The sequence below is a fragment of the Homo sapiens genome, chromosome 9 (genome assembly GCF_000001405.40).
Source record: "Homo sapiens chromosome 9, GRCh38.p14 Primary Assembly".
Classification (NCBI taxonomy): Eukaryota; Metazoa; Chordata; class Mammalia; order Primates; family Hominidae; genus Homo; species Homo sapiens.
The window spans coordinates 107155611-107171859 of record NC_000009.12 but is presented as its reverse complement, the minus strand read 5'-3'; the positions used below and the strand labels follow the sequence as shown (position 1 = coordinate 107171859).

Sequence of the window (16249 nt, the reverse complement as noted above, 5' to 3'; positions counted from 1 at the left end):
GTAAAGTTTTACCTAAACACAAACTCAGCAAGAAAAATTGTCACCCCCTGTGATGGTCAGTTTTGTGTCAACTTGTCTGGGCCGTGGTGTGCCCAGATATTTGGTCAAACATTATTCAGGGTGCTTTTGTCAAGCATTATTCAGAGTGTGTTTTTGGATGAGATTAGCATTTAAATCTGTAGACTCAGTCAAGCAGATGTGGCCCTCCCTAATGTGGATGGACCTCATCCAATCAGTTGAAGGCCTGAATAGAACAAAAGGCTCTCCTTCCTCCAAGTAAAAGAGACTTCTTCCTACCTAAGTACTTTCTTCAAACTGCACAATGGCTCTGTCTGGGTCCCAAGCCTGTCAGTCTTCCCCCTAGAAGCTCACCATCAGCTCTCTCGCATTGCTAGTTTGGTAACTCACCCCGCAGATCTGGAGGTTTCTCGGCCTCTACAATCACATGGCCAATTCCTTAAAATAAATCCCTTTGTGTGTGTGTGTGTGTGTAATATATATAAATATGTATAGTATATATAAAATACGTATATTATGTGCATATATGTATATGTAAAATATCCCATTTCTTCTGTTTCTCTGGAGAACTCTCACTAACATACTCCCTGGCTTGCCATTCATCCTTTGGCTATGCTTTCATTTCACACATGTATACTGAGAACCTATCTAGTACTAGGCCCTGTACTAGGCATCTGAAATAGAAAGGTGAAGCCAGCTGCCCGACTTAACAGATTCAAGAACAAGGGAAAAGACAGTACAGAAATGAGGTGTCACAGAATAGAAGTCAATGTGGAGCTGGGGAAAGCTAAGAATGACCAGATGCTGAAGAGGAGAAATGTAAGCTCATTTCCTGATGATGCTACTTGTCCGCTGCAGAAAAACCACAACAATCAGGGCACTGTAAATTAGTGTGTTGATGACATTGTCAAAGGCATAAATAGCAACAATGTGGAAAGTTAGCTCCAAGCTACTCAAGCTGCCAGGAAACTACTTTCTAGAGGAAAACAGCCCCGCCCCCGCCCCCCACCACCCCCCGCCCCACAAAGACAACTTAATCTGGGCTGGTTTGATTCCAAAATTTGTGTCTTTCTTAGGCAGAACTGATTGTAGTCCCATTCAGTTTGAATCTGCCTGGATGCTCACTAACATTGCTTCTGGGAATCAGAACAAGCCAAGGTTGTGGTAGATGGAGGTGCCATCCTAGCATTCATTTCTCTGTTGGCATCTCCCCATGCTCACATCAGTGAACAAGTTGTATCGGCTCCAGGAAACATTGCAGGTGATATAGCTCAGTTTTCCGAGACTTGATTACTAAGTACAGTGCCGTTGACCCACTGTTGGCTCTTCTTGCAGTTCCTGATATGTCATCTTTAGCATGTGGTTACTTATGTAATCTTACCTGGACACTTTCAAATCTTTGCTGCAACAAGAATCCTGCACCCCGGTTAGATGCTGTTGAGGAAATTCTTCCTATCTGAGTTCGGCTCCTGCATCATGATGATCCAGAACTATTAGCAGATGCCTGCTGGGCTATTTCCTACCTGACTGATGGTCCAAATGAATGAATTGACATTGTCATGGAAACAGGAGTTGTGCCCCAACTTGTGAAGCTTCTAGGAGCTTCTGAATTGCCAATTGTGACTCCTGCACTAAGAGCCATAGGGAATATTGTCACTGGTACAGGTGAACAGACTCAGGTTGTGATCGATGCAGAGGCACTTGCTGTCTTTCCCAGCCTGCTCACCGACCCCAAAACTAACACTTGGAAGGAAGCTATGTGGACAATGTCAAACATCACAGCTGGCCGTCAGGACCAGATACAGCAAGTTGTGAATCATGGATTAGTCCTATTCCTTGCCAATGTTCTAAGTCAGATCTTAAGACACAAAAGGAAGCTGTATGGGCCGTGACCAACTATACCAGTGGCGAAACAGTTGAACAGATTGTGTAGCTCATTCATTGTGGCATAATAGAACCATTGATGAACTTCTTAACTGTAAAGATACCAAGGTTATTCTGGTTATCCTGGATGCCATTTCAAGTATCTTTCAGGCTGCTGAGAAACTAGGTGAAACTGAGAAACTTAGTATAATGATTGAAGAATGTGGAGGCTTAGACAAAATTGAAGCTCTCCAAAATCATGAAAATGAGTGTGTATAAGGCTTTGTTAAGCTTAATTAAGTATTTCTCTGTAGAGGAAGAGGAAGATGAAAACATGGTGCCAGAAACTACCTCTGAAGGCTATACCTTCCAAGTTCAGGATGGGACTCCTGGGAACTTTTAACTTGTAGATCACATAGCTGAGGCATAAATTTGTTGTGTACTATGTTTGGTATAAGTTTGTTTCTCTACTATGTTTGTATAAGTACTGTTTCTCTACAAAGAACTCTTTTTAAATATGGTTTGGTATTGTAGCACTTTTTACACTGAAACTATACTTGAACAGTTCCAACCTGTAAATACCGTATAAAGCTTGTCCTCTGAATGGGTTTCTTATTTCTTTGTGGAATTTTATATCTCGCAGTGTCCTGTAAATAAAGACTAAAGTCCACCCCCCGGAAAAAAAGAAAAAAACAAAAAACAAAATAGAGAGGTGAACAAGTTAGCATGTTTCCTGCCCACAGAAAACTTCCAATCTACTGAGGGGGATAAACGATCAAATGCTCACACAAGTGTAAAAATGTAGCTATAGCAAGTGCTGCGGAGAGACAGGAGTGGCCTCTGGGAGTAGTAGAAAGGAGAGGCTTGAGCTGCACTGTAGCCACTAGCCACAAGTGCTCATTTAAATTCAAATTACAAGGCCAAGCGTGGTGGCTCACGCCTGTAATCCCAGCACTTTGGGAGGCTGAGGCGGGCAGATCACCTGAGGTCAGGAGTTTGAGACCAGCCTGGCCAACATGATGAAACCTCGTCTCTACTAAAAATACAAAACTTAGCCAGGCATGGTGGCAGGTGCCTGTAATCCCAGCTACTCAGGAGGCTGAGGTAGGAGAATTGCTTGAACCCAGGAGGTGGAGGTTGTAGTGAGCCGAGATCAAGCCACTGCACTTCAGCCTGGGTGACAGAGCGAGACCTTGTTTCAGAAAAAAAAAAAAAAAATTCAAATGACAGTCAGACTCCACATAATGATGTTTTCGTCAGTTAAGGACCACATATATGATAGTGGTTCCATAAGATGATGATACTGTATTTTTACTGTACCTTTCTAGGTTGAGATATGTTCAGATGCACAAATGCTTACCATTGTGTTACAGTTGCTCACAGTGTTCAGTACAGTAATATGCTGCTCAGATTTGTATCCTGGTAGCGATAGGCTACACTGCATAGTCTAAGTGTGTAGTAGGCTATACTATCAAGGTTTAAGTACAGTCTAGGATGGTCTCACAATGACAAAAATCACCTAATGATGCATTTCTCATAATGTGTTGTCATTGTTAAGTGACACATGACTGTAGTTAAACTTAAATACAAATAAAAAAAATTAAAGCACTCTGGGAGGCTGAGGCAGGAGGATTATTTGAGCCCAGAAGTTTGAGACGAGCCTGGGCTACACAGGGAGACCCCATCTCTACAAAAAATAAAAATAAAATACGTCAAGCATGGTGGCACGTGCCTGTAGTCCCAGCTACTTGGGAGGCTGAGTTGGGAGGATCGCTTGAGCCTGGGAGGTCGAGGCTGCAGTGGGGCTGGGATCGTACCCCTGCACTCCAAGCCTGGGCAACAGAGTGAGACCCTGTCTCAAAAAAAGAAAAAGCTCCTCATCTGCACTTGTGAAGTGCATGGTAGCTGCAGGCAGTCAGCAGCTACTGTATTGGACAGCACACATAACAGAACATTTCTATCGTCACCAAAAGTAATAGTGCTGACCTAGAGCAAGGTTTCTCAAACTCAGCACTATTAACATGTTTGGCTAGGTAATTCTTTGCTGTTGAGGGCTGTCCTGTGTCCTGTTAGATGGTTATCAGCACTAACTCCCCTCACCCAGTTATGACAAGCAAAATGCCTCCAGACATTGTGAAGTAGCCCTTGAGGGGGCAAACTTGCCCCCAGTTCAGAACCACTGGGCTAGAGGACATTCAGACAGAAATAATTTTAGTAATCAGAACGCAGAGTGGTAAGGGCTTTGAGGTGGTAAACCAAGGTGTTGTCAGAACATGGGAAGAAAGTTCTCATGTCAGACTGGAGGACGCAAGGGAAGGCTTCCCCAGAGAGCTGACTCCCAAGCTACATCTTGAAAAGCAAGACAATGGCAGCAACGAGGCTTGATACCATCTAGTATGACACTAGTTCCACCATCAACCTCTTCCTGCCTTCATCATCTATTCCGGTCCCTGGATGGTTCCATGCTAAACTCAGAGGGTGCTGTATGAACTCTACTTCCCTTCATTCTCCTTTATTTTTTTTAGATTACTAGTCTTGTAATGTTTAAAAATCTCAGCTGGGTGTGGTGGCTCACACCTGTAATCCCAGCACTTTGGGAAACTGAGAGGGGAGGTTTGCTTGAGGCCAGAAGTTTGAGACCAGCCTGGGCAACATAGCAAGACCACTTTTCTACAAAATGTTTAAAAATTAGCTGAGTGTGGTGGCGTGTGCCTGTAGTCCTAGCTACTTGAGAGGCTGAGGTGGGAGGGCCACTTGAGCCCAGGAATTCAAGGGTGCAGTGTGCCATGATTATACCACTGAACTCCAGCCTGGGTGACAGAGTGAGACCCTGCCCCCAAAAAAGAAAAGATCTCTTGTTCTTTCCTGAGTTGGTTAGGGCTCTTAATGTGGCAATAAGAGCTAGTTCAACAAAAGGGGTACCAACTGTGAAGACAGGCCACATGAGACTCAAGACAGGAACCCAAGTTCATTCGGGCCCCATGCATATGTGAATGGGAATATCATTGCACAAAAAGGCTGCTCTATCTCTTGAGGGCTTCATGACCTCACTTAAGACATCTCTGATGCTCTCTGCACATGACCTCTAGTCTCAACTGTCCGCTGATCTGTTTTCTCCTCCTTCAGTTGCAGATAGTTCACAATGGCCACCCAGTTCCCTCTACAGATGGGTAATGCTTCGTAGTCGGTTTGACTTCATTGTCAGCTGGAACTGGCCTATGTGAATTTTAGCTCAACATCCTACGTAGGAATATAATAGGCCTAACTCATCATTTTTCGATAAAGGCCACACAAGTCAAGGGCTCCTAGTCTAAAAGACAGTTCCCACCTGGGGCTGCTGTCTACCCCTATTCTGTGCCACTTGGTACAGAGTCTGTGTCTACCCAGCGGGGACCTGCAGTGGGAGATAAGGGAAGGCTAGTTGCCCTGTACACAGTTGGCTCAAGAAATGAGGGTTAGTTCCTCATTTCTTTTTTCCATTCTTGTCATCAGTTGCTCTGGAATTGTCCCAGATTCCTCCATTTTCTTATCTGTAATCAACTCCTTACTTTCTCTCATCACCTAGTACAGTACCTAGCACATAGTAGATGCTCAATAAATATTTGATGTATTGAAGCCTACTAGTCAAAGACTGCGAGGAACACACCTATAGTCAAACACGTGTAGGTTTATTGATCTTGCTGCAGTAAGGAAGAGCACGTGGTTTCTCAACAAGAGGGCATTGGAGGGGCTTATTGAAGGATTTGGGTTTAGGCTAGGTGACTGTAAGGGAAAAACTAGAGAAACAAGAGCCAGTTTTGTATTAGATGTTATTAGAATGTGAGGACAATTCAGCAACTTGGTATCTGAGAAATTCTTGTTGAGGAAGCAGGAAGAACAAAATGGGACTGGGATGTCGTTGGTAAAAAAAGTAATAATAGTAATCTCCCAGAGGTAACTTTTTATCTCTAATGTGGCTTTGACTCTGTTTGCGTAGAAACATTATTTATTACAGTCTGATTGACAACAGGGTTGATTTTTTTTTTTTTACATTTTCAGTTAAATTAAAAAAAAAATAACTGAATGACTATTTACCCAAAGGAAGAAGCAATTGCAATGAGTTACAGGCAAGAGCAAGGTGCTAAGTTTAAGCCAGCCAAAGTGACTCTTCATATTATCTGTCTTTCAAATGATTGCTTTTTACTGATGTTGAAGAAAATTGGCCTTTAGTATAATGATGTAACACAGATTCATCTGAGGCTTCCTCTACAATTTTGAAATAAATGGTGCTGTATGTGTTCCATTGTTGATATTTTCACCCTTCTTTATTTTGATTGCTCATTCAAGGTTATCTTGCAATTGGCCAACGTTCCTCTTCAAATGTGGTCCCATACATTCCAGATATTGTCTGCTTGGAGCTGAACACAATAGGTCAATTACTTCCTGAGTTTGCAACACCATGCTCATGAGACACACTTTTTTTTCAGTAGTCATATTACACTATAGGTTCACATAAGGCCAGAAGTTTAAGACCAGCTTGGGCAACATAGCAAGACCCCTTCTCTACAAAAGGTTTTTTAAAATTAGCTGGGTGTGGTGGCATGTGCCTGTATTCCTAGTTACTGGCTTGACTTGGTTAGAGCTCTTAATGTTTTTAAGCATGAGCACCCTGGTCTAGTATTTGATTTTTGGAATATGAATAAAAAGTGAATTTGTCATTACTCACAACATTTTATCCATTCTTACTCAACATTCTGGAAGGTTGGAAAAACACCTGTTGTATTTGCTTTTCCTCTGACTTTTTGTTGTATGCAATTTGGTTTACATCACTTCTCTGTAACTCATGCACAACGTTGGCCAAATGTTGAACTGGATACCTGGAAAAAGAGAATCTCTCCAGCTTCAGGAAGTCATCAAGCAACACTCTTTTGTCATGATTGTTGGACTGCTTTCAATTTATTAGCCCATTTTATTAGTCAGGGTTCTCTAGAGGGACAGAACTAATAGGATAGATGTATATATAAAGGGGAGTTTGTTAGGGAGTATTGACTCACATGATCACAAGGTGAAGTCCCACAATAGGCTGTCTACGAGCTAAGGAGCAAGGAAGCCAGTCTGAGTCCCAAAACCTCAAAAGTAGGGAACCTGACAGTGCAGCCATCAGTCTGTGGTTGAAGGTCCCAGAGTCCAAAAGCTGAAGAAGTTGGAGTCCAATGTTCAAGGGCAGGAAGCATACAGTATTGGAGAAAGATGTAGGCTGGAAGACTCAGCCAGTCTAGTCTTTCCATATTCTTCTGCCTGCTTTTATTCTGGCTGTGCTAGCAGCTGATTAGATTGTGCCCACCCAGGTTGAGGTGGGTCTGCCTTTCCCAGTCCACTGACACAAATATTAACCTCCTTGAACAACACCCTCACTGACACACCCAGAAATAATACTTTGCATCCTTCAGTCCAATCAAGTTGACACTCAATTATTTCCCATCACACCCCTGCACATTTCACTCCTGTGTGAGTAGACAGGGAGCTTCTGGCCATGGTGCAGCTTGAAGAACCAGGAGGAACGGAGAGGATTGGGCGAAGTGGGAGCAGGATGACCAGTGAAGATTTCAAGGAATAATACAAGACTGAGTCCATTTGTTCTCAAAGTAGGACAGGTGGCATTGGAAATGGACAGGAAGATGTTACTAGAAATATGAAAGAAAAATTCAACAAGTCTCCATGAACAACAAATGAATATAGGCAGAAATGGGGAAAAGACAGGTTTAGAGTGTGAATAATTTGGATGGTGTTGGTGAAAATAAAGAGGTCTTGGAGAGAAGCTGTTTGAGCATAGTTGGATGGTGATGGGGAATTCTTGCTGAAATGTGTGAGTCAAAAGTACTAGCAAGATTTGAATTTTTTTTTTTTTGGTCTAAATTCTGGGCAATTTTTTGTTTGTTTTTGTTTGTTTGCATTGTTCATTTTGTTTTTACAAGAGCCATTTGAGGAGGGTAGGACTAATTTATTTTTGCAAAAGTGAATTTGCAGCTCAGAGGAGCTAACATTTTTGTCCAAGAGTATACCTTGTAGGAAGAGTGCCACCCTGGGGATATAGAAGTAACTAGACATGTGCCCATCCTCTCTTGCAGAACAGTAAAGGTAATTGCTAACCCACTTAAGTTTGGAGAAGACAAAAGACTGCATTTAATTCAGTCTGGTGGGAGTGAGGAAAAGAATAGGAAGGCTTCTAAGAGGATACAGTATATCAGAAAGGAAGGTCAAGTCAGAGAAAGGATATTAGAGGCAGAGAGAACAATGTGCAACTATAGAATGCTTAGGAAACAGCAAAGAAATTTATTTCTGCTAGAGAAAAGATGATGTGAGGATCAGCTGGAGAGGTGGCAGGAGGGGTAGTCAGAGCCCAGCTGAGGGAAGTCCTTTTATGCCAGGCTGGAGTTTGGACTTGACATTGTTTGCAATAGAAAGCCAGTAAAGATTTTAAACTGTAGGATTAATCCAACAGGATTGAATTGGCATGGTAGAAAGATAATTCTGGCAGAAAGATGAAGCCTTGATTAGAAGGGGAGAAGTAGGAGGCCCTTCAGAAATCCAAGGATGATAGTAGTCTGGCAGGCATGTAGTACTCTTGCGAGGCAGAAGCAAGAGTAATGGGACAGAGAAGACTGACTCAAGACATGGGAGGAAGAATGCAGAAGACTTAGAGACTGCTTCAATGTAGAGATTTGGGAGATGGGACAGTGAGGAGGACTCTGGGGTGGTGGCTGAAGTCACTGGTTAGATAGGTCATTAGCAGAGACAAGGAAACTAGGAAGGTGACTAGGTTAGTTGGGGAAAGAATGGGATGAAGATGCAAGTCTAGCTTTCCATGTGCTAATTGTAGTGTTTTGTGACAATTGAGGAGAATTGTTCAGTAGGCAACTGAATATTTGGGTTTACAAAAGATGAGAAGTTTGGGCAGAAGATAAAATGCCCTTAGGGACATTGTGGTTTGGATTGTATAGTTGGTTCTCTTTATTCATGGTAGTTATGTTCTACAAAGTCACCAAAAACACTGAATTAGTGAACATTGAGCCATTGCTCCTAGGGGAAATATAGGGTTAGGTTCCTGTGAGCCTTTGGTCATAATATTTTTATCAACTAATCAGTGCATAACCTTGTTTTAAGTGTGTTTCCATTTAAAGATGCCTTATTTAATATATACTGTTGATTCACTAACATTAAACTCATGGGCAACAACACTATAACTTATGCCTAACTGAAGCTTTTCTAATACATATGTTTTCTCTGTAAGGACATCATAATCATCTTGCACTTAGAAACACTAGCCAACATTTCAACACTGTGCTTGAGGGCCATCTTGAACAGTGAAATCACCAACAAAATGCACACAAATGCAAAAAAAAAAAAAAAAAAAAAAGGAGGGGGGGGGTCCTAAATAGATTATGAAAGGATAGCTGTTTGCAGTATAAAAGCTAAAATAGGAGTGCTGCCTTGTCCAGCGTTAGCTGCTCTGTTCATGTTCATGAATGACCATGACACTGCCCAGAGTATTGATTTGTGGTTACAAATAAATTTTAGTGAGTAGGGAAATTCTTGAATAATGAGGATGCAGTGTATTTAAAACCATGACTGTTTGGTTGGTGTCACTTTCAGAAGGATTAGAATGAGAGTGAGAGAGGCTAAAATATGCCTTGGGTACACTGACATTTGATAAGTGGGCAGCAGAAAAGATACATGGAAGGAAGACTTAGGAAGAGGAGCAAGACAGTGAGGTTTAATACCCATAGAATATGAAGTTTCAAGAGCAGAAGTACTCAAGAGTATCCATCATAATTAAGAGTTAATTAAGTTAAGGAGTGTGCACTAGATTTTACAAACAAGAGGAGACCTTGAGGAAAATAGTGTCCATGAGTTTGTAGGGGTTGAAGCCACATAGCTGAAGGTTGAAGAATAGCAAAGAGTAGAAAAGTGGTAATTCAAGTGTATATTACTCTTTTGATATGCTCCAATGTAAAGAGAAGAAAAAAGATGGTACAATGGCCAGAGAGAACCATAAAGGGTTCCAGTTTTGTTGGCTGAAGGGTAGATTAATTTAACTATGGCTGAAAGGAGACCAGTAGAGAGGGAGAGGTAAGAAATACAGAAAAGATAGGATGTGGCAGATGGAGTAAAGTCCATGAGTGGGCAGACATGGATTAGGCTTTGGCTGCACAGGAAGGAGGCAGGAAGGGAGGGCTACGAATGACAGCAAATATTAGTTCTTTGAATATGTCAAATTCACCCCCCTAAGGGCCTTTGCAATTGTTGTTCCCTCTGTCCAGAATGCTCTTCCCCTGCCACGTTCTCATGGCTTTATCTGTGGATCCTCATATGACTGGCTCCTTGTTATTCAGATCTCAGCTCAAATGTCACCTTATCACAGAGGCCATCCCTGGCCATCCAGCTAAAAGTAGTCCTTTTGCACTGTCACCTGAAATTATCTTATTTGTTCATCTGTTTACTTGCTTCCTTCCCATCTGCTCACTCAACTGTGAGCTCTGTGACAGCTGGGACCTTTGTCTGTCTTGATCACGGATATACTCCCAGTGCCTGGCATGTGTTTGTTGAACAAATGAATAGCATGCAGAAAACATGGAGGAAGTTTACTTGAGGGGAGGGAGGGGTTTTGTCTTATTCCTCTCTGTACTCTGATGCCTCGCAGAGAGTAGGCGTTCAGTATTGAATTCAAAAATGAATAGAATAATCATTCCACTTCCAGGTATGTATACTGAAGAACTGAAAAGAGATGTTCAAACAAAGAATTGTACAAAAATGTTCATAGCAACATTATTCTTAATACACAAGATGTGGGAACAGCTCAAATGTCCATCAACTGATGAGTGGATAAACAAACCGAAATAATGGGATATAGCCATGTGATAAAGTATTATTCAGCCATAAAGAGGAATGAAGTTCTGATAAGTCCCATAATATGGCTGAACCTTGAAGAGTTTATGCTACGTGAAAGAAGCCAAATACAAAAAGCCACATGTTGTATGATGTTATTTATATGGAATGTCCAGAAAAGACAAATTCAGAGAGACAGAAAGTAGACTAGTGGTTTCCAGGGGCTGGGGGAAAGGGGAGTGGGGAGTGATTGTTTAATAAGTAGTACAGGTTTCTTTTTGGGATGATGAAAATAGAATTGGATAGCGGAATTAGATAGTGGTGATGGTTGTGTAACATCATTAATGTACTAAAAGCCACCGAATTGTACAGTTTAAAATGGTTAATTTTATGTTTTCTTTTCTTTTTTTTTTTTTTAAGACAGGGCCTTGCTCTGTCACCCAGGCTGGAGTGCAGATCACAACTCACTGCAGCCTCAACTTACTTGGGCTCAGGTGATCCTCCAACCTCAGCCTACTGAGTAGCTGGGACTACAGGCAAATGCCACCACACTCGGCGAATTTTTGGTATTTTTTCATAGAGATGGGATTTTGCCATGATGCCCAGGCTCGTCTCAAACTGCTGGGCATCAGCTATCTACCCACCTCGGTCTCCCAAAATGCTGGGGTTACAGGCATGTATTAGTCTGTTTTCATGCTGCTGATAAAGACATACCTGAGACTGGGAAGAAAAAGAGTTTTAGTTGGACTCACAGTTTCACATGGCTGGGGAGGTCTCAGAATCATGGCAGGAGGTGAAAGGCACTTCTTACATGGCAGTGACAAGAGAAAAATGAGGAAGAAGCAAAAGTGGAAACCTCTGATAAACCTATCCAATCTCATGAGACTTATTTACTATCACAAGAATAGCATGGGGAAGACTGGCCCCTGTGATTCAGCTACCTCCCCCTGGGTCCCTCCCACAACATGGAGGAATTCTGGAAAATACAATTCAAGTTGAGATTTGGGTGGGGACACAGCCAAACCATATCATTCTGCCCCTGGCCCCCACAAATCTCATGTCTTCACATTTCAAAACCAATCGTGTCTTCCCAACAGTCCCCCAACATCTTAACTCATTTCAGTATTAACCTAAAATTCCACAGTCCAAAATCTCATCTGAGATAAGCCAAGTCCCTTTTGCCTCTGAGCCTGTAAAATCTAAAGCAAGCTAGTTACTTCCTGGATACAATGAGGGTACAGGCATTGGGCAAATACAGCCATTCCAAATAGGAGAAATTGACCAAAACAAAGGGGTTACAGGGTCCGTGCAAGTCTGAAATCCAGTGGGGCAATCAAATTTTAAAGTTCCAAATGGTCTCCTTTGATTCCAGGTCTCACATCCAGGTCACACTGATGCAAGAGGTGGGTTCCCATGGTCTTAGGCAGCTCCACCCCTGTGGCTTTGCAGGGTACAACCTCCCTCCCAGCTGCTTTCATGGGCTGGTGTTGAGTGTCTGTGGCTTTTCCAGGCACATGGTGCAAGCTGTCAGTGGATCTACTATTCTGGGTTCTGGAGGACGGTGGCCCTCTTCTCACAGTTCCACTAGGTGATGCCCCACTAGGGACTTTGTATGGGGCCTCCGACCCCACATTTCCCTTCCACATTGCCCTAGCAGAGGTTCTCCATGAGGCCCCCACCCCTGCAGCAAACTTTTGCCTGCACATCCAGGCGTTTCCACATACCTTCTGAAATCTAGTCAGGAGAAAAATGAGGAAGAAGCAAAAGCAGAAACCCCTGATAAACCCATCAGATCTCGTGAGACTTACTCACTATCACAAGAATAGCACAGGGAAGACTGGCCCCCATGATTAATTACACCCCCCTGTCCTTCCCACAACACAGGGGAATTCTGGGAGATACAATTCAAGTTGAGATTTGGGTGGGGACACAGCCATACAACGTCAAGGCATGAGCCACTGCACCCAGCCAAATTTTATGTTAAATAGATTTTACCTCAGTAAAAAATACCTAATGGATGTGCACATAATGCATAACCAAACTCTACAGCACACAGGATTGATACTTCAAACTCATCTACAGACAAGTCTTAGAGCCACTTAAAGCAACCCCGAGGCATGAATCTACCAAATAGATATATTATTCAGAGTTATCAAGTCACTACTCACAGGATTCTTGAAGTATTTCTTCAGATTGTGAGTTCTCAACTCTTTTGCATGAAAACAACTTGATTTTTAGATAGGCCTTTAGGGAAACATTTATTGCATGAAAGAAGACCTGCTTTGGGTAATTGCAAATGCTACCACTAAATGTAGAAATGTTTATTTAGTGACCAGGAACCATTTCCTCAGCTCTTTCCTTCAAGCCATGGCTCAGGACAGTCAGTACTTCTAAGGGGTTTTCTGTCCTTCCATGATGTTTGGGGGAGGAGACCCAACATGGGGTTTCTGATGGGTAAAAAAAAGACCACAGCAGAGGCACTGGCAGGTGTGATGTGAGCTCAGTGTGCTCTGGGGGCAGACTCTGGGGCAGGAGGCTCTCTCCAGAAGCGCTGAAAAGGCTACAGGAGTGATGCCTCTTCTTATTTCTAGCTGTGAACAGACCTCTAGTGGCAGCTGCTGAAATTAACCTGCTCTCTCCAGAGCCCCCTCTGTGAATGGATGTGATTCTTTTCTCTCAAAGCATTATTGGCTGCAGCCATTCCAAGAGAACAGGACATTTCCAGCAACATTAAACTTCCTGCAGGTCTGGTTTGGCCAAATGTGCTCTTTAAAATTTCGGAGCAAATTTTCTTTATTGCCCCTTTTCTATGTGGGCTGAACCATGGACACTAAAGTTGCCTTGTACTGACAGCCACAAGCCTCCATTTCTACTGGGCACTGGGAAGAAGACCCAAAGGCAGGATCTCTTATGTGAAAGGAGTTTAGAAGTCAGGCACACCTGGTCCCCTTACCAAAGAAAAGAATGCCTATGAATGGTGATATTTGAGCTGGAATCAAGTACAAGCTTCAATGGGCATAATTTCTACTTTGTTATTGGACAGTGGTTCTCAAACTTATGCCAACCAACTCAATGTCAGATCCCTTTCTCCCAGGAGGCTGCCCTTATGACCTTCTCTACAGTCAGATAATCATGCTGTGTTCTGTGTTCATCTTCTATTTTGGCACTTCTTGTATTGGGGTCATTTATTCATTCATTTCATTCATTCATTCAACAAGTATTTATTGACCAACTTTGAGTCAGACACTGTTCTAGGTGCTAGGGACAAAGCAGTGAATATAAAAAGGCAAAGTGTTCAAAGCATTAGCATCTATGGGGAGTCAATATTATATACATACATATATATATAAAATCAGACAATTTGTGGAACACCATAAAATATTGATATATGGAATTTAATATATGTCTGTGAAGAAAAATAAAGTTGGGTAAGTACAAAGGAGTGCAGTGGGTCAATAGGGATTAGTAATTTTTAATAAGGTGATCAGAGAAGGGCTCTCTGGTAAGATGTCATTTGAACAGAGGGCTTGATGGAGTAAAGCATGCAGAAGATATTGGACAAAGGAGGGATATGATGTGAGCCCCTTTTCACAGGATCACTCTGGGTGTTGTGGGGAGAAAAGAGTGAAAGGAGCATGGAGACAGCAGAGGGTTCAGTCAGGAGCCCATTGCTGGAATCCAGGTGGAAACCGTTGTGGCTTCAACCAGGGTAGACACAGCGGATGTGGTAAAAGGTGGATGCATTTTTAAGATGGAGCTTGCAGGATTTGCTGATGGACTGGATGTGAGGGAAAGAAGAGCCAAGGGTAATTCCGAGTTTGGACGCCTGGAAGAATGGAGCTGCCAGTTCCAAAATGAGCAAAAGTTTGGAAGGGAAATTTAAAATGGGAAAAACAAGAGTTTGGTTTGAACTTGTTAGGTCTAAGATGTCATTTAGCCATCCAAGAGGAGACGTCAATGAGACAGTTGTAGATAAAAGCCTGGATTTCCGGGAGAGATCCAGGTTGGATATGTATATTTTGGAGTTGTCAGAGTACAGAAGGCATTTAAAGTGTATTTTAAAATCATCATCATTCTCCAGGAAATAAAAATAGATACGGAGTAACAAAAAAGAGAAGCAGCCCAAGAATCAAGCTCTGGGGCACAAGGGGCAGCGAGGGAAGGACACTGAGAATGAGGTGAGGTGAGGTGAGGTGAGGCAGGAAGAAAGCCACAAGAGTCATGTCTTGGGAACCAAGTGAAGAAAGTGGTCCAAGAAGGAGTAAAATGAGCTGGGAATTTGAGAAAGCAGAGAATTGAGAATTGACTACTGGATTTTGCACCATGGAGGTCATGGTGACCTTGCAAGAGCTCTTCCAGCAGAATGGCAGGACCAAAAACCTGATTACAGTGACTTCAGGAGAGAAAAGGAGTAGACAAAGTGCTAATAGTGAGCTTCAGCACTTGATCTACTTGAGAATTTTTCTATAAAGAGGACCTGAAAAATGAAATGTTAGATCAACAGGAGTGAACTCCGAGTAGGTGAGAATGGATGAGATCCATTTTACAAATTGAGGAGTTGGGCTTAGAAAGAAATGTTGATATGGCCATTTTTTCTTTTTTCCCCTTTTAAAAAGAAAATCTGTGAGTCAATGCCTTTGTTTCACAGCTACTATGTATCTCAAGCTGTGAGCAGGCCGAGATGGGCAGGGGAGCTGACACGATCTATGTCTTGAATTGCACTATTTGTGGAAAACCATAAAATATTGATATATGAAATTTGAAATAGCTAAGTATATATGACATAATTCAATACCAGATTCTAGCATGGACAAGCACTAACTGGTGACATAGGTATAAGAAAAAATTTGAAGTTGAAAAATGTCCAGCAATTGGCTTAATGTATTTCCATAAATTGGGAAGTGATCGCTGTGCTGTTATTTTTGCAGCTGACACCTGGTCCAGTCTGCAGAACACCATGGTTCCATAGGTTAAGAGACTGCCCTCACTGCCCAGAGAATTTCATATTTGGAAGGAACATTTTAAATGCAGACGTGGTCACTCCACTATGTTCTGAGATGCTTCAAATCACAGGTGAGAAGAGAAGAGATTCTCGAATTTTGGCCACTGGAAGCTGGTATTTCCCAGCATTGAGATTGCCCAGCATTACCTTGGCAAGATTGGACTGACTTGCTACAGGTTGCCCAGGAAGGTGCTCTGACATGAGTAAGAGACACACCATAGGAGCATCCCACAAGGGCTTTGAAAGTCTTTTTAGGAGGCATCTCCAAGAGGATGAGGTGCAACATCACAAAAGGTGATGTGCTGGATTTCTTGGTAAACAAGGACAGAGTATATGTCACACCAGGCTCAAGTTTGAAACTCCTTGAATCAGTTCTGAAGGGACCACTCTATCCCTGGCCACAATTCTTAACCAGTCAAACATATTAGTTTATTAAATCCTGATAAAAACCATAAGCCTCAGAGAGGTTAGGTGACTCTGAGGTTACACAGCCAGTAGGTG

General features: G+C 42.4%; 1 pseudogene; it reads left to right on the top strand.

Annotated features, from left to right (window-relative positions):
* Positions 1–717: 717 nt before the first annotated feature.
* On the top strand, positions 718–2735 carry LOC644661 (importin subunit alpha-1-like; annotated as a pseudogene).
* Positions 2736–16249: the final 13514 nt, after the last annotated feature.